The sequence below is a fragment of the Homo sapiens genome, chromosome 9, assembly GCF_000001405.40.
Source record: "Homo sapiens chromosome 9, GRCh38.p14 Primary Assembly".
Lineage (NCBI taxonomy): Eukaryota > Metazoa > Chordata > Mammalia > Primates > Hominidae > Homo > Homo sapiens.
The window spans coordinates 27323401-27341699 of record NC_000009.12 but is presented as its reverse complement, the minus strand read 5'-3'; the positions used below and the strand labels follow the sequence as shown (position 1 = coordinate 27341699).

General features: G+C 43.9%; 1 protein-coding gene across 6 annotated transcripts in view; it reads left to right on the top strand.

Annotated features, from left to right (window-relative positions):
• MOB3B (MOB kinase activator 3B) overlaps positions 1-16491 on the top strand; it is a 204606-nt gene extending 188115 nt beyond the window's left edge. For all 6 annotated transcript variants that reach the window (NM_024761.5, XM_047423892.1, XM_047423895.1 and 3 more), the window contains one exon: positions 11084-16491. In NM_024761.5, the coding sequence (NP_079037.3) occupies positions 11084-11113 (30 nt within the window). In that variant the 3' untranslated portion in view covers positions 11114-16491. The remainder of the gene's footprint in view (positions 1-11083) is intronic.
• Positions 16492-18299: the final 1808 nt, after the last annotated feature.

Below are 18299 nucleotides of genomic sequence, written 5' to 3'. Positions count from 1 at the left end.
AGAGTCGGGCACAAAGTGGTGACCAGCTCCTGAGGCTCTCACGAGACCAAATTTCTCTCTGTGAGAGCTTGAGAACATGTTTCAATAGGTGGTAGTCAAACTTCTAGCAAGAGATCTCATTGTATTAAAAGGAAAATTTTAGTTTTGTTTCATGTCTATTTACTCCATCAAAATAACACTTTGTTCCTACCAAAGGAGTGAGACTGCTTAGAAACTACAGACTTCCTAAATTACAGGCTCACTGAGGAAGCACATTCCCCATATGTTTTCATCAGACACACAATAGAGGTCTTATTAAGCAATGGCAAGCTCTGTCCTGTGGTGAATTCAGCTAGGCTGAACGGCTTCTATGGAATCCTTTGTTTTCCCAGGGGAGGTAAATTCTTCCTTTAGGGACCCATGCTCTGAAAGTTCAGAATACTCCCTCCAAAAGGACAAACCGTTTGTTCAGCGTTTCTTGCATGTCATTAAGAGTTGCCCCCATTAAGCTTCTGTCAGAATAAATAAAACTCTGGTGCCTGCAACCTAACCTGGAGTTTCCGGTACTCTCTGCTTCACCGGCCAGTGCCTTCCCTCCCACTCCTGATAGAAAGGCCACATGACAGAAGCAAATGTGAGAATTCCTTCCCCTGCCCTCCCGCATCCAGCCTTTAAGGAACTGCACAACCCTACAGGGGGCATTGGGCCATGCTGAAATCTGTTTCATTCCTCAAAGCGGGTGGGTGCACTCAGTCACCCTTTGCTCATCCCAGAACAAGGGGCAGCAGCAGCATCTGCCAGAAACCAATCCAGCTGCGCTGACAAATGCTGGGTATGAGAAGGAGGGAGGCAGACTCCTGCCAACTGTGCAGACCTCCATGGGGGCTCTGGAGAAGTTGGGTAACAGAGGAGGAAAGGAGCGGGGAGCAGCAGCCAAATGTCAGAGATCTCAGTGTCGCTTTGAGCAGAAATCACAGGCTCCTTTGATCACAGGTAGCATCAGTCTGAGCAGAAATCAGGTTGGATCCCCTGTCCCATCAGTGCATCAGCCAGGTTGATACAGGTGGGAAGGACATGGTAGGTGGATCCACAGAGCAAGACAGGGTGCTAAAAAAAAAGCACAGAGTTGCAGAATGAGGGGTGGGCTGCGGGGCTCTAGGGAGGGGATCTGCAGAGATACAGTGACCACAAACAGTTTTGATTAATGCTCTTGCTTTCACGATGCACTATGAGGCAACCCACCATGTGTCCGTAACCCATCTCCTGTGGTTAAATGAGAGAACTTCAAAAATGTGCAGCTCTGTCTTTATAAGAAACAATGTAAATCAGGAGGCTGAATATGTTTACATAAAGTGACTTATTTTTAATGTTTGCAGGGTTTGGAAAAAGAAGAGCAGTTTGATTTTTGTATCGGTATGAATAAATATTCTCCGTGGGTGGCGAGTGTGTGTGTTTATCTAGCCATACATATGTATATGTGCACTTGGGAGCCTGCACATATGTGCACACATTCACACACACGCACCCCTCCATCGTGGAAACGCCCTCCGTGTCAGTAATGTGGGCTGTTGTTTAGGAACAGAATTAATCAAATAAATATTGTTCTGTGTGGTTTAGGGAAGTCTGGCCTGCCTTGTTTCTATTTTTATTTCGTTTGGCTTATTTGCCACCCACATTCCTAAAAGAGAGCAGAAAGAACATTTCTAATTCCTGTGTGCTGGTTGGATCCTGTATATACTTAGAGTTGGGGAAATTTTAAAAATATTTTTGTAGACTGGCTGCCCTGCCTGCTTTATAAGAATTCAGACTTTGGGATGCTAGCAAAGGAAGAACAGCAGCCCTGGCTGTGGGCCTCCTGGGAACGGTCCTGCCAGCCGAGTCCCTACTCCCGTGGCCCATGCTGGTGTGGTACAGCCGCTGATTCAGAGACTCAACTGAAACAGCACATGTAGATATGAATGAAGATATATTCAGCACGATGGCTCAGGATATAGTAGACTGGTTAGGAGGATGGGTTTTCAAGTTTCAACCTTGGCCAGGGTAATTATTAGTGATGTGGCCATGGCCGAGGTACTTAACCTCCATTACCCCTCTGTAAAATAAGAATGATACCACATACCCCATAAGACTGATGTAAGGATTGAATGAAATGATGTCCAGCATTGAGCACAGTGCCTGGCACACAGAAAAGGTGCAGGAAATGATAGAAACTACTCCATTCGGAACACAAGACACTTTGGTTAATGATGGCTCTCTTATCACTGCCCCATCTTGTTCACTCTGACTCTTGTGACCTGGCACGGCTTCATTCATTCATTCGTTCACTTCTCAAGTTATTTATACCAATAAAGCCTAGTTCCAAAATAAATTTGGGGTGGCTGATGTCAGCCCCTACTGGAATTCTCTCTCCCAGATGCTCTGAAACAGACACAACAACGTTACAAAAAAATAGTTCCTAAAAAAATGTTTAGGCCTCATGCCTGAACCTCGCCTAAGGATTCCACCATTGACTCCTGGTCCCTTTACCCTCCTCTGAAAACAAGCTTCCAGGCAGGAAGCTCCACCAGCTTGACCACTGCAGAAAAGGCCTTGAGGGCAAGAACGAAGTCCCCTGAGCCTAGGGGGAGTGCATGGCAGGGAGACTCTCCCCGAGGGTTCCCAGGGATCCCTAACTTGCAGCACTCCCTCCACAGCCTCACACAAACAGCTGGGAATGGTCCGGGAAAGCAGATTAAGCAGCCCTGGACTCACCCTCACTCTGCACCAAGGATGCAACTGAGGGCTCCTTAGAAAGTCATGCCCCAGGAGGCCCCACTTGTGGAGTTACCTGCCTGTCCACCGGAGTCGGGGTGGGAGGGGTCCTTCCCCTGGAGTTGCCAAGGCATTTGGGAAAAGGCCAGTGTTATTTCCTCTGATACATACAGCTATTTGGATTCTAGAAAGCTAAAAGAGAAACACCACAGGAAGTGGGGAGCCAGCCTCGTTTGGACAGCTGTGGTCCCGACAGCGACACAGTGGCCTCCCTGTGCCCGAGGCCAGGCAAGAGCTGCCCTGCTGTTGTTCCCACCTTCTACGGTTCCCGCTTTGCCACATGGACTTGGCTGTAGAGTTGTTTGGGATGTTTTGTATTTGCTTGTTTGTTTTTCTTTTCTTTTTTTCTCTCCTCTCTTTTTCCGGGGATTTCCCTGCAGCAAGCAGCCTGATGTTTTTCATGGGTCTTCCTTGAAGTCAGACACTCACCTTCAAAGCAGAACTGCACCCCCGTCTGAAGGAGAGCCAGCTGCCAGGGCAAATTCTTAGCAACCAGCTCTGGGGCGCTGCTGGGATCCTCTATCTCTCTTTCATCACACCCAGAGTTCTGCTCCCTTTCTGGGAATTGCTCTGTCTCCCACCTACGTGGCTTGTAAGCTTCACCCACACCCAAGCAGGGCTGGGAAAGAGGAACTGGAGTGCTCTGGAGGAAACAAGGAAATAGGGCTCTCCATGCAGAAGGAACAAGTGTGCAAAGATGCAAGATAAACAGAAGCAAGGTGTATGCAAGGCCACAGACAGGGGCGGGAAGCAGATCCAGAAGTCCTTGCAAGTCATGGGAAGTTGAGGACTTGATCTAGTAGGAAATGGAGATGCAGGAAAACAGTTTTATTTCTCCCTGGATCTTCAGCAGTACCTTTCCAGCCAGTGCTGTTGAGGACACCAGCAGGCATTAGAGAGTGGTGCTTCTGGGCCTTGGTGCATACTGGAATCATGTGGCTGTTACCTCTAGGACCACAGGCAGCATGGTGCCACAGGGAATTCTGAGCCCTTCAAACTGGACGATTCAGAGAGAACAGTTGGTTTTCATTTTGATCATTGAATGCCTTACCACAATACCACTGCCTCTTTTGATTCCACAGCCCCTGAAAGCACACCTGCCCTTGCCTTGGGATTCTTTTGACAACAGTATCACCATGCCTCTCATAGCGCCACGACACTAGAAGAAACCTCACTGATTGCTGTCCCTGTCTACAGTCCAAGAGGATTTCAAATGGGCCCACACGGTATAGCTGAGAACCCGAATCCCTTGCTGATGCCAGCTCATTTTCTTTGGTCTCATCCTCATCACTCCTCCAAGAAAACTACCCAGTCCAGAGGGACTTGCTTTTGCTATAAGTGGGTTAGATCTTGAGATAAGGAAATAGCAAAATGTTGGTGTAACATTGAGTGTGGAAATGTGGCCTGAGGGAAGTGAGTGCTGGCAGGAGCTGAGGACCCTGTTGGGAGGGGGCCGTGAAACCTTGGCATAGACCTCGCCAGCACAGCTGTTTGGAATGGAGGCAGGAAGGGCAGGGGAAAGCCATGAGAGAGGGAATTTTCAAGATGGTCAGTGTTCTCAATCCACAGCCATCACAGAAGAAACTAATGAAATATGGGTACAATCTGGAGATTTTTAAGTCTCTAAGAAGTGGAATTTGTGAGACGAAAGGCTTCCAGAAAGCCCTCTTTCTGACCTGGCCTCTACCCCTAGAGGGCCTTAGCCTTGCTGTGGGGAATGAAACTCTTCCCGGTTGTAGGGTTTTGGTGCTGTCCACCCCCAGCCCAGCCAGAAATGTGGCTTCTGTACTTCTGCTGCAGTTCAAGCCACTTTTCCAGGTATGTCCCATCTGAGTGGAGATGGGGCTGACGGCAGGCCACAGGGCCAAGCTCGGGCACGGGGCCGGTAGCTGGGACTGAGGCTGCACTGCTGATTAATGGGCAGGGAGGCACTTTGTGAAACGTGCAATACCCTTTGACGGCCTTTTCCGGGGGACTCGCAGCTTTCCTCGTGTCTTTTCAGCAATATCACATTTGATTTTACCTTTAAAATGTATTGATGAAGCTGCATGATTGGAAAAGGTGCTGGGGGAGATGAATCTCTCCTACTTTCCGTTCTGTTTCCATTACTTCAGGGGTGTGTACGCATGAGTATACACGTGTGCGGGCGTGCTGTATTAGAGAGCCCAATTTCCTTTATATACGTGAACTCCTCCCCCTAGTAGCCACCATTAAACATCCAACGGCTTTAAAATGGTTAGTGAGAAGTACACAACATAATGTCAGATGTGGCCCTGAGAGAGGCGTACTGCTCACTGCCCTGCTTTAACCCGTTGGCTGTTTAATGGTGGTTACTAGGGGCAGGAGTTCACGTATATAACAGTCATTTTTCCAAAGTTTCCAGCACCAAGGGTCCTCCTGCTCCTTACCACACTGCGGAGCCTTCTACATCTCTTCATACTGCTTTTCTTCCTTGATTATTTTTTGTTTCAAGTATTTCTTCCTCCCCCTTTCTCCTGGTGTCTCAGAGTTAGCAGGAAGCTGGTAATTAAAAGAAGACATGGGTTTTGAAATGCTGCTGTGGTAGCTCTTCCCCCCCCTTATCCATTTTACAACAGAAACAAAAAGACTCACTCCTTTTCTTTTGCTCCTCCCTCCAGCAGAGTAATGAAAGCAGAATGTTGTTTGCTTGTTTTTGTTTTTGAGTCCACTAAATCATTATTGTTACACTGACTAGCTGGGTGAACTTGGGCAAGTTAGTTCAAATTTCTGGGCCTCCTTTTCCTCATCTGTAAATTAGAAAAAGTAATGCCTAGTTCATAGAGTTGTGAGAAAGTGCACAAGGTAAGTCTAAGTGCCTTCCCCATCGTAGGTATGAAATGCGTGTTTCCTTCCACCTCTCATTTTACTTGGGTCTGTAGACCTAATAAGTGTTCCTTTTCATTGGATTTCAGTTTAATTTAATATGTTTTAAGCACCTAGTATGTGCCAGGTCTTGAGCACCAGGGTCTACACAAATACCAGATAGGTTTTCTCTCTTCAAGAGCAGCCTGGTGCTGAAACCAGGAATGTGATAAACGGTCGCACAACAGTGTGAAAGGTGTCATGGGCACTGAGGGAATCTGGAAGAGGAGCACCTAGGATTCCTTGGGGACAGGGTGGGAGGGTAGAAGAATGTGTCCCTAAGGAGATGACAACTGGTCAAGAGCGTTAAAGGGTGTTGGCGATGGGAGAAGGGTGTTCTGGGAAGAGAGGAGCATGTGTATGGAAATCGTTGTGTGTTCCATGGGAGAGAAGGAGCGTCGGCCACCGATGGGGGATGAGGTTGAGTGCCTGAGAAGAGTCTAGATCAGGAACAGCATCGTATGTTACAGTGGAGACTTGGTTTGAAAACTACTGAAAGCCATTAATGGAGTTTAGGAGCATCATGAGATGATAAAGATTTTACCTGCAGCACATCAAGCCAGCTCTAAGAAATCCTGTGTACACAAATTGCCTCTTTCGAATCAATGTGAAGTCAGAGAGCCCACAGGCCAGCAGTCCAGTTCTGCCACTAATTAGTTTTGCCGCATTAGGGAAGTCACTTACTTTCCGATGGTCTGAGTTGCCACATCTCCGAAATTAAAGTGTTGGAGTAGGTGACACCCATGTTTCCTCCCAGCTATAACAGCAGCCTATGACTCTGTGATGATGTCACTGCTTTTTGGCGCTTGTTTCATAATTCCTAGAGTTAACTTATTAAAATTGCTGTGCAAGCATGATGACTGTCCCCTAGTAAACATCAAGTGTTCTTCTTCATATGTTCCATATGAAAATTAGCTTCTTGGGCCAGGCGCAGTGGCTCATGCCTATAATCCCAGCAATTTGGGAGGCCAAGGCAGGCGGATCACGAGGTCAGGAGATCGAGACCATCCTGGCTAACTACTAAAAATACAAAAAATTAGCCGGGCGTGGTGGCGGGCATCTGTAGTCCCAGCTACTCAGGAGGCTGAGGCTGGAGAATGGCGTGACCCCAGGAGGTGGAGCTTGCAGTGAGCCGAGATCGCGCCACTGCGCTCCAGCCTGGGGGAACAAAGCGAGACTCCATCTCAAAAAGAAAAAGAAAAAAAAGAATATTAGATTACTAAAATGTGTGATGATGTAGTGCAGTAAACTGAGAGCGTTGATTTCTTTGTAGTCTTGCCTAAGTCAGAGAGTATTTGTGTGACTTGGAATAAGTCATTTTACTTCTCTGGATCATTATTCCCTATCCTCCACTGACTACCAGTTATAAAAATGGGTACACTGAGGTTAGACTAAGATTTGACACTTAGAGTTCACGGAAGTTTGTTCAATGGCTATCAAGAACTTCTTCCAACTGCTAACAAGTACATAAAGAAGATTTAAATTTAAAAAGTGTTTAGATCAGAACAGAAAAAATTGAGTATCTTATGTAAAAGACAGGCTGATTTCATCCACCCCCACCGTCCCCACAAAAACTAGGCAAATGTCATTTTAACTTCATTTCTAAAGTGAAATATGATTTCAGATTGGAGTCTCTGTCTACTTTCCTTTTTGTTTTTTAAATAACCGGTCTTGTTTTCTTAGAAAAAAATTCATGCATATCAAAAATATCTAAAACTTCAGACTCCGCAAAGGACAAAAAAATTAGAAACAGAAAACATACACAATTGTATTCACCCAAAGATAAATTTATCATGTTGGACCCATATTTTTCTTTATATTTTTTCTCAAAATAACTGGATCAAACCATACATCCTGTTATACAATTTGAATAAAATATGCATCATACATTAATATACTAAAAAATATTAATGTTCTTCTCAGATTCAGGCAAAAATGAAATGATGAATTCCAATGTGATAGAATGCAAATGTGTGCAAAGTGATGGAGATACCCAAGAAAGGAGCTGACAATTGCATCTTAAAGGATGTCAAAATTTGCCAGGCAGAGAAGGGCAGAAAATATTTACCAGATATAAGAAAGAAACCACTAGAAACTGGCCAGTTGGAGACCTGGAGAAGTCTAGTTTGCCTGGCTGGTGTGGTGAGTGGGAGGGAATTCAGCAGGAGGTGAGCAGGGGGCGATGGGTCCTCTTTCTTTGACAGGCTTCAGAGGATGGAATTTGTTTTGTTGACAGTGGAGAACCAGGGACTTCATAGAATCAATTACTGCTTTATTTTAAAACAAATGAAACCGAGTGACCACAACCAAGATTCTACTTTGATCTTCTGTTAAAAACACATTTTGAAAAATTCAGGTGTTTTTGAAAATCTTCATATACAAGCCAAGCACAGTCACCAGGAACTTTCTCAGAAGCTTCTCATCACCTCAGCGGAAGCCTTTTAATACACGTTTTGGAGTTCTTTAGTGGCCTGCCTTAATACACAGGGCATTCAGTAACTCCAGCAATGGCAAATTCATTGTAAAGAGCACCCTGGGTAGAAGCTATTTTGGCCACACTCTCAGAGAGGAAGGAATGTGTTTGGCCCTGCTAGCCTGCGGGAGGGCTCTGATGAAGAAAGCGATGGAACCTAGCATTGCCATTTGTTTATTTAAACGAGTTTTTTTTTTTAACAGCTCATTGGCTCCACCCAGTGGGCAAGTGCTAGAATACAGCTTGCAGAGTCTTGCAGAGCTTTGAAGGATGGATCCAACTCAAATGTCTTTCCTGATGTTTCTGATCTGCTATTTCAACCATACATTCCCTTTATGAATTTAAGAGGCATCCCAGGAAACAGTTTTTATCCTGCATCTCAGTGACCTTGAATAAGTACCCTGTCCTCTCTGAAACTGTTACTCTGCTACTTAAAAAAAAACTCTGCCATATTTCTAGTGTCCATACTCTCTCAGTGGCATAATTGTTCTAGTATTTGCCCATTGTACCTATAATTCAAACTGGCATCAGTCTGGATAAAGAAAAAAATCTGGCATTTTGAAAATTCATGAATGACTGCAACCACCTATAATTATATATGTCAATTAATATATGCCAGTATTATCCGATTGCATATTCATAAGACTATCTTAGAGGCTTTAACCTACAATCACATGGTGTAGTAGAAAGAGCAAGCCTTTGCGGTCAGATAGACCTGAGTTTAAACCGTAGACCTGCAGCTTTCTATGTGACCTGGTAAGGTACTCTCCTTCCCTGAGGGTTTTTCCTCATCAATACAGTAGAGATGGCAAATCTTACTTCACAAAGTATAATATCTGTATAGCAGTAGACACTGGGACTGGCAAACAGCAGGCCTCTGTTTAATAAAAGCAGCGGTTACTGTTGAGCATTCTGTACCTTACCCATTTACCTTGAGCAAATAGCTTCTGCTCTGAAACTGGGATTCTTCCTCTGTCCATTGGAGGTCATAGTTCCCTGTCTTAGAGTTATACAGATGCAATGGTATAACCACCCCAAAGCACCTGGCATCTTATAGATATTTAACTATAGCTAGCTTCTTTCTTTTCAAAAGTACAGACCTATTGCAAATAATTAAGTTATAAAGCTAAAATTCTGTTTATCCCATGAACACACTTTCTCTCTCCCTACTTCTCTTTCTGTCTCTCTCAAACACACACACACATGCTCTTGTTGTATTCCCATCTTGTTTTCCTTGTCTGTGTCATCAAGAGTTAAGCCAAAAGCTGGGTGCAGTGGTTCACACCTGTAATCCCAGCACTTTGGGAGGCCAAGATGGGTAATGCTTGAGCTCAGGAGTCTGAGACCAACCAGGGCAACATGGTGAAATCCTGTCTATACAACAAACTTAAAAACTAGCCAGGTGTGGTGTTGTGTGCCTATAGTCCCAGCTACTCAGGAGTCTGAGGTGGGTGGATAGCTTGAGCCCGAGTGGTTGAGGCTGCAGTGAGCTGTTGCCACTGCACTCCAGCCTGGGCAACAGCAAGATCCTGTCGAAAAAATTAAAAATTGAAAAAATTAGATATACACATAGATTTGTAACTTCCTGTATTAATAATTATAGAGATGCAAAAGTGCCTAGATTCTGCCTTGTCTATTGTTATTTCTTTAACCAGCACATCTGTATGGTTTTCGAATAGAACGCTTCTCTGAACACCTTGGCACTCCCACACTCAGTCTCCTTTTTCTCGATGTTTCCTATTATATAAGGTGTGGCAGTCCAGGTCAGTATGCAAGAGATGTAGTAGCTGCAGTCAGCTCTGCAGCAGGTAGAACTTGGAAGATCGTTCATCTAACTAAAGTGACATGAAACTTGTCTTCTCAAGATGCTAAATGGCACAGGGCTCATTACTAGCCTGCTCCTCAGACCATCCTTGGAGATGAAAGAGGAGCCACTACCCTGGCACAGTGCCAGGGGCAGGGGCTACAAAGATGAAAGCACATGGGGCGATTCAATGAGTGCTTCTTTTTCCTGGCACTTAGTAGCGCCCAGTCTAGCAGGGCCAACAGACATGTCCAGAGCCCCAGTACACACACACACACACAGAGATGTACAAATTCATACACTGCATGTAAGAATCAATGTGTGCACAGGAGGAGAGAGTGGCTACCTCCACAGCGAGTGGGGCAGGAGTGCGGGAAGGTCTCCCAGCAGGTAAAAGTCACCTTACCTGAGGTGGAAAAATGAGTGGCAATTTGACAAATGAAGAGGGGCAGGCGCAGGATGTGGTAGCAGCGGACCATAGGCATGGGACTCAACCTGTGCGGAGCCCCAGGGGTAGAGAAAGGATGGCTATTCGGGATCTATAAATACCCACAAGAGCCAGGCAGGTGACGCATGTCAGACACTTTGGTGTATTATTCATTTCTATTTTTAAAAATGTCCTCCTTCCTGCTTTTCTTGACTTATACCCACTTATCCTTTATTTTTCCATCTTTGATTGAAACTTAAATCTTTCCCTACTCGAAGAAAACTAGCAGTCCAAATCCAATTACTGTATCAGTTCATAAGTGCTACATGGCTCCTGCTGGGAAGTCAGGTGGGAGTGGCAAGGACTGGGGCAAACTGGAGAGCAAATTCTTCTGCTGAAGAGGACAGCCATTCTTCAACTCCAGTTGTTCAGAAGCTCCAAATCTTGCAATTTCTCAGAAAAAGCAAGCAAGCAACCTGAATTTTGATACATGAGTCAAATTTTTAAACAGTGCCTTAATGGAAAAAAAAAATTCTGCAGAACAAACAGATGGAACATACCCTCATGCTAAGCCTTATTCATGGACCATGCTTGCAAGCTTTCATTTACAGGCTCTCGAGATTCCAAGAGCATTTTCAGGATCCTTCACCAAATCGTTGCTCTGCTTATAGTTTCTCCTAACCATCCTTTTCCCCTTGCTTTCCAGAAAGAAATGACGAGCAGGATGTGTCACTAATGCTCCACCTCACCCTTTGGAAGAAAGGAAAGCTGTTTCCTCCTGGTGCCCTGAGCGGGCAGGAGGTGGACCACCCTGGCTGAAATGACACACCTACTCCCAGGAACAGCAGAGGTGGAGGCAAGCAGTGACTCCTGAGAGACATTCCCCACTCACTTTGTGTGCTCTTAACCTTCTGAGTGCTGCTAGCCCAGACCTGTGGACGAGGCAGACCACAACGTGAAAGAAGGACCAGCCCCTTGACCGTTCTGGCTGGGGAATTGTCCACGAGGAAGCCTCTGCACTTCCACACATGGCACAGTTCTGCCTGTGACCTGCCGCCTAAGCTTTACTGGAATTCAGGTTTTGAGACTGAGATGCGTGTTCGTATTTTTCCACTTATCTGTCTTGTCAGCTGGCCGACTTCTCTGTGATTGGTTTTTTAAGTGCCGGGTGAATTTTGGACCTCTGGATGTGCAGCAAGTTTTTATGCAATAAGCCTTCCTTTCAGGTCTCTAAAAGCTCCTGCTCTGATCTGTGGTTTAACACTGTGCAGGGCTGTGGAGCTCTGAGACACCTGAACCCCTACCCATCCCCTGCACCTCCCTACTCTCCCTGCCGAGGCGTCCATAGCATTTCCCTAATAAATAGTTTTATCAGGGACACTCCATGGGGTGGCTTGTCTCTGCCCCAAACAGGGTCTTCACGTTCTAACTGCAGGGAAGAGACTGGTTACTAGCGTAAAGCTGACAAGTTACCAGTTCACCTGATCAGAATGTATTTTTTATAACCACCATCATTCCTTGTCTCTTCAGTGGAAGATATTCTTTCCTGTTTCCCAGAAGAGAGAAATAAAAGTCCTAAATAACTAAGAATGATCAGCGGGAGCGTTGGGCATGATTACTGCAGTGTTTGTTCTTTATTAAAGACAGGGAGTCGTGGCTGTCTCTACATAATACTAACATTTCAGTGAAAAAAGTACAATTGGTTATTTGGTACGTGTAGATTTAACACCCAGACGGCTGACTTGTAACCCTCCCCACTAGCCTTCTGAGCATTTAAACCCAGCCGTCATTCTCTCCCCACTCCACGCTCCCCACTCCTCTGCCACGTTATGTTACGGCACAAAATTAATTTCTGCCCCTGTGATTGGGCCACGGTTGCCAAGGTAACAGTGGAGCTGGAGCTAACTTCCTTCTTTCATCCTTTCCAATTTTTCTATTCCAGAAGACAGTCAGAATAATGCATTCTGTACTACATCCTGCCTTTTGAAACCTAAATGAGTTTTCGTTGATGAAATGTTGCCTTCTCTGATTCATTCACAAAACTGTGGTGGTTCTGACCACCTGTGACGAGGGGGGTCATAATACTTCCAGTGATCCTTTTAATTTAGCAAAATATTTGTCGGTGGAGGGAAGTAGATAAGAATGTATTAGTGTATTTTAAAGTAATAATGATTAAAGAATAACTAAATGACTCTGATTTTGTTTTATCAATCATAATGTGTTAAAGCCCTCTGTGGCTGCCACAAAAGACTAGAATCATGAAATCTTTGTCCAAGCTAAGAAAGGGCTGTCTCTGTGGGTACAGTGGCATTCTCTGTTGACCTAACCAAGCAGCCTGAACCTTGCTTTGTGTCTCGTAAAGGTCATCTCACGGAATCCAATTGCTGCTACCTCACCATGTTGCTGTGCCCTGGTCAACAATAAACATACTTTTGTCCCCCTTCCTAAGTAACTTTGAGAGGACAAGATAGGCAAAGTTTTTTCCCTACATCTCTTTTGGCCAAAAGAATATCTGACCATCACAGAGATCCAGAGAACAGAAACAAGAGCCCCTAAGTCCCAGCCTCTGCAATACACAGTTACCAGATGGGAATGCAGCACAGTGGCACAGAGAGGTAACTACGGAGCCCATGCCCTGGAGGAACTCTGTAGCTGTGCATCATGGAACGCCACAGGATTTTTACATTAAAAAGTTGAATATGTTCCTGCATTTCAGCAGTGCATAATCGAGCAGGAGGCTGGAATCTGGAGACCTTTGTTATTCATTCTTTTTAAGGTTATTTTTTATTAACTGTGCATATGAAATTTCCACTCAATTTAAAAATCCAAATCTTTTTAAGCTTCTTGGAAGAATTTCCTCCTGCTTATATTGTTAATTGCACTAATGAACTCTTCTAGGGTAAATTCTGGCAAACTACCCTTTTTTTTTTTTTAATCACAGAATATTCCTGTTCCCACAGAACTTTGGCACATTCTGAAGAAAATCTCTGCAGTCAATTTTTATCTCCTCTGCTTGACTGCATCTAACTGTTCATCTCTGTTATAAATGGAGCTTCAGCCCTCTGGGTCAGAGACTGACAACCCTCCTTCTTCTTCCTAACCTGTCCTACTCTCCTTCTTTTTCTGCTTTCATTTTAATTTTGGGAAATTTTAAAGTAAAAGTTTCAAAGTTGAAAGATTATAGTGAGTACCCTTATGTCCTTTAGTGCATCAGTTGTTAATGTTTTGCCTTGTTTTCTTTTCTTCCTTTTTTTTTTTTAAGAGAAGGGGTCTCTCCCTATTTTACCCAAGCTGGCCTTGAACCCCTTGCCTCAAGTGAGCTTCAACCTTAGCCTCCTGAGTAGCCAGGACTATGGCATGTACCACCGCACCTGCCTCACATTTTCTTTCTCACTGTAAATACACATTCTTATTCTTGAACCTTCTGAAAATAAGTTGCAGACATCATGAAAATGTAAAATACTTCATCATATTCTTTCTTTTAATAAGAGCATTGTCCTATAAATCTGCAATATTTTCACGCCCATGAAACTGAACACTGATACTGCATAAATCTAATATATGATCCATATTCAAAATTCTCCAGTTGTCCCCAAAATATCCTTTATAGCTGTTTATTTTTAAATCCAGGATCCAATCAAGAATTATACGTTATATGTAGTTGTCATTCTCTTTTGTTTCCTTTAATTGATTAGAGTTGCCCTTTTGTGTGTGTCTGAGTGGTGGGTGGTGGGGTGGTGTTTGTGTATGATGTGCAGTGTGTGTGTGTGTGGTGTGTCTTTCATGACACTGACATTATTAAAGAGTTCAGGCAAGTTTGTGGAATGTCCCACAATCTAGACTTTTTTACTGATTGTTTCCTCATTACGAGATACAGGTTACATTTTTTTTCCCAAGACTGCTACATGTGTGATGTTGTTTCCTTACTACTGCCTCACCTCAGGAAGCACATAATGTCTACTTGTCTCTTTTCTGATATTAGGACTGATCAGGTGTTGTCTGCCTGATCCAATCATTATCAAGTTCCATAATTCATTATTAAGCTCTGAAATTCAGGACACATACATTTATAGAGTGTGAGGCTGTGCATACGTACATTCATCCCTTAATGTTCTCAAGGAGGCCCAGGATCCCCAAAATATTATAAGCATTGCAGTCAGATGATATAGCACTAGCAAAGCATTCATCCCTTTCCATATAACAGGAGGGAGGGGAAGAAGGAAGTTTCCATGTGCAGGCAATACGTGAGAGCATGGGCAAGTGAGGATTTGTATGCTCCCTGTAGCCAGAGGTGAAATATTCAACGCTTTTATTTTTTCTCCCGTCTTCAATGACCTCCCATTTGGACCCATAGTTTATTTATAGAGAGCACACACTCCCTAATTGTCAGATGGTTTTTTTGGGAAAACTCTTAGATAGTACAGTGAGTTGTGACCCTCCAAAGGATCACAAGTACATAAACAGATACAAAGTATTTATGTGGTATTAAAATTTCATGGTGATGGTGCAAGGGAGAGATGATTAGGAAGAAAATGTCTTACACGGCTGTAATTGAGAAATACTGATCTAGAGTCATTTCCTGCTTCTTAAATTGTTCGTTTTCTCTTCCCTGGGTATTTTCTCATTTCCAAAGACCCAGAGTCTCAGAGCCAGGTTAAGTGGAAGAAACTTTGAGAGGTTTCTTAATCAATTCCTTCTATCTCTCAAACCATGCCAGTAACTTCCTTGGTGAAAAAATCTATACTCCTCTCACAGTTCTTCGGGCATGGAAATTCTATAGCATTCTTTGGTATAACCAACCCACTGAACCCTCCACAACATCTTGAATTCCATTCAACTCGAGCTGAAGTATTCTTTTTGAGTTTCAGTATATCTTTTCTAGTGTCCCACTTTTAGAAAGGTCCAAAGATGATATATAATAAGTGAAAATACAATTAATCAGAGCTTTATTTGCATATCCATTAAATATCTGAAGGCTATTACCAGTTGTGCTTCAGCCTCCTTTCCCTTGCAATTCTCCCAGGGTGGCATCCTCTACGGAGTCTTGTTGCTCCATTGTTGACCACTGATGTAACTCAACGTGAAACCTTCCCAAAGCTCTCCACATCACTCTCTGTTATGGCTGTGACCAGCAGTGAACATGAAAAGAACTTATTTCATGCCTTCTCCAAACTATATTGTTTCTTTGCTAAGTCCAGACCTGCTTTTTCTACATTTATAGGTTTTCTATTTTAATCGCCATGCAAAATTCTTTATCATACTCAATCATTTTGGTTTATCTTCCTGACTTCTTACCTTTAACATCCCTGTTAAAGATTACACTGTTGTTGTTTCAAAAAAAAAAAAAAAAAAACCTTAATTGGCAAAACATTAAGGGACTTGAATAGAATTACACTTATCTTTTTGTGCTGATTTATGTCAATCCATCATTCTGGTTATTGATGGAAGCAAATTGCTTCCTATGTTCTCTAAACCTTATGTCCCTTCCATACTCCATGAGTACCACACTGGGAGAAAACAAAAGCAAAAAGATTGTGGGAAAAGTATAGCCATTATCTTTGAGGAAATGTGTACCAAGGCACAATCATTAAAAGGAGTTGGAGGCATCATTTGGTTGACACTGTTGTCATTCTTGTTCTGATCATTTTGGACCTTGAAGAAATTGGTGATTCTCTCCTAGAATTAGACAAACAAAGTGTGTTTGGAAATAATGATTGTTTTCCTGCCTTAAAAAATATATTAACAGAAAGCTTTTATAACAGGCTGTTTCCCTCTGGACAGGTATTAATTCTGAGTAAGAATTTTCAGTGACTACATAAGGATTTGTGTAACTTATGAAGGAAGAGTCCATTTCTAATCAAATAATTCGCCTGTTTTACTAGCTTATAGTGATCTGATTTCAGAATTTTCCTGTATCTTTTTTACATACATCAGAAAAAGAAATGTTTACTATATTTTTGGTTCCATTTATGATTGTATTAAGCATTTGACTATAAGGAAAACTAACAATTAAATCAATTAGAAAAGCAACATAAAATTAAATGATATTTAGGAAATCAGTTATATGTGAGCTTGGGTATTCAAATGTCACAAATAAAAAGCATATAACCATTATCTAGTCTGTCTTTTTTTAATGCTTGGTTCATTTCTTTAATAAATAGGTTGTCTTGCAATGGTCCTAGAACAGGTAAATAAAAGGAAAGCTGTTAATTCTACAAAAACCAATTCAAAGTTCATTTGAAAACACATGGGTGGCTGGCAAGATGGCCAAATAGGAACAGCTCCGGTCTGCAACTCCCAGCGAGATCAATGCAGAAGGCGAGTTATTTCTGCATTTCCAACTGAGGTCCCCAGCTCATTTCACTGGGACTGGTTAGACAGTGGGTGCAGCACATGGAGGGCAAGCCAAAGCAGGGTGGGGTGTCGTCTCACCTAGGAAGTGCAAGGGGTCAGGGAACTCCCCTAGCCAAGGGAAGCCATGAAGGACTGTGTCGTGAAGAATGGTGCACTCCAGCCCAGATACTACGCTTTTCCCATGGCCTTCACAACTGGCAGACCAGGAGATTCCCTTGGGTGCCTTCACCATGAGGGCCCTGGGTTTCAAGCACAAAACTGGGCAGCCGTTTGGGCAGACACCGAGCTAGCTCCAGTAGTTTTTTTTCATACCCCAGTGGCACCTGGAATACCAGTGAGACCAAACCATTCACTCCCCTGGAAAGGGGGCTGAAGCCAGGGAGCCAAGTGGTCTAGCTCAGTGGATCCCACCCCCATGGAGTCCAGCAAGCTAAGATCCCCTGGCTTGAAATTCTCACTGCCAGCACAGCAGTCTGAGGTTGACCTGGGGCACTGGAGCTTGGTGGGGGGAGGGTTGTCCGCCATTACTGAGGCTTGAGTAGGCAGTTTTCCCCTCACAGTATAAACAAAGCAGCTGAGAAGTTTGAACTGGGTGGAGTCCAATGTAGCTTCGCAAAGCCGCCATAGCCAGACTGCCTCTCCAGATTCCTCCTCTCTGGGCAGGGCATCTCTGAAAGAAAGGCAGCAGCCCCAGTCAGGGGCTTATAGATAAAACTCCCATCTCCTTGGGACAGGAGCACTTGGGGGAAGGGGCAGCTGTGGGCGCAGCTTCAGCAGACTTAAACGTCCCCGCCTGCCATTCTGAAGAGAGCAGCAGATCTCCCAGCACAGCACTTGAGCTCTGCTAAAGGACAGACTGCTTCCTCAAGTGGGTCCCTGACCCCCATGCCTCCTGACTGGGAGATACCTCCCAGAAGGGATCAACAGACACCTCATGCAGGAGAGCTCCAGCTGGCATCTGGAGGGTGCCACTCTGGGATGAAGCTACCAGAGGAAGGAACAGGCAGCAATCTTTACTGTTCTGCATCCTCCGCTGGTGATACCCAGGCAAACAGGGTATGGAGTGGACCCTCCAGCAAACTCCGGCAGACCTGCAACAGAGGGGCCTGACCGTTAGAAGGAAAACTAACAAATGGAAAGGAATAGCATCAACATCAACAAAAAGAACATCCACACAAAAACCCCATCTGAAGGTCAACAACAGCAAAGACCAAAGGTAGATAAATCCACAAAGATGAGGAAAAACCAACGCAAAAAGACTGAAAATTCCAAAAACCAGAACACCTCTTCTCCTCCAAAGGATCACAACTCCTCATCAGCAAGGGAGCAAAAATGGATGGAGAATGAGTTTGACAAATTTACAGAAGTAGGCTTCAAACTTCTTCAAGCTAAAGGAGCATGTCAAATGCAAGGAAGCTAAGAACCTTGAAAAAATATTAGAGGAATTGCTCACTAGAATAACCAGTTTAGAAAAGAATATAAATGACCTGATGGAGCTGAAAAACACAGCACGAGAACTTCATGAAGCATACACAAGTATCGATAGCCAAATCAATCAAATGGAAGAA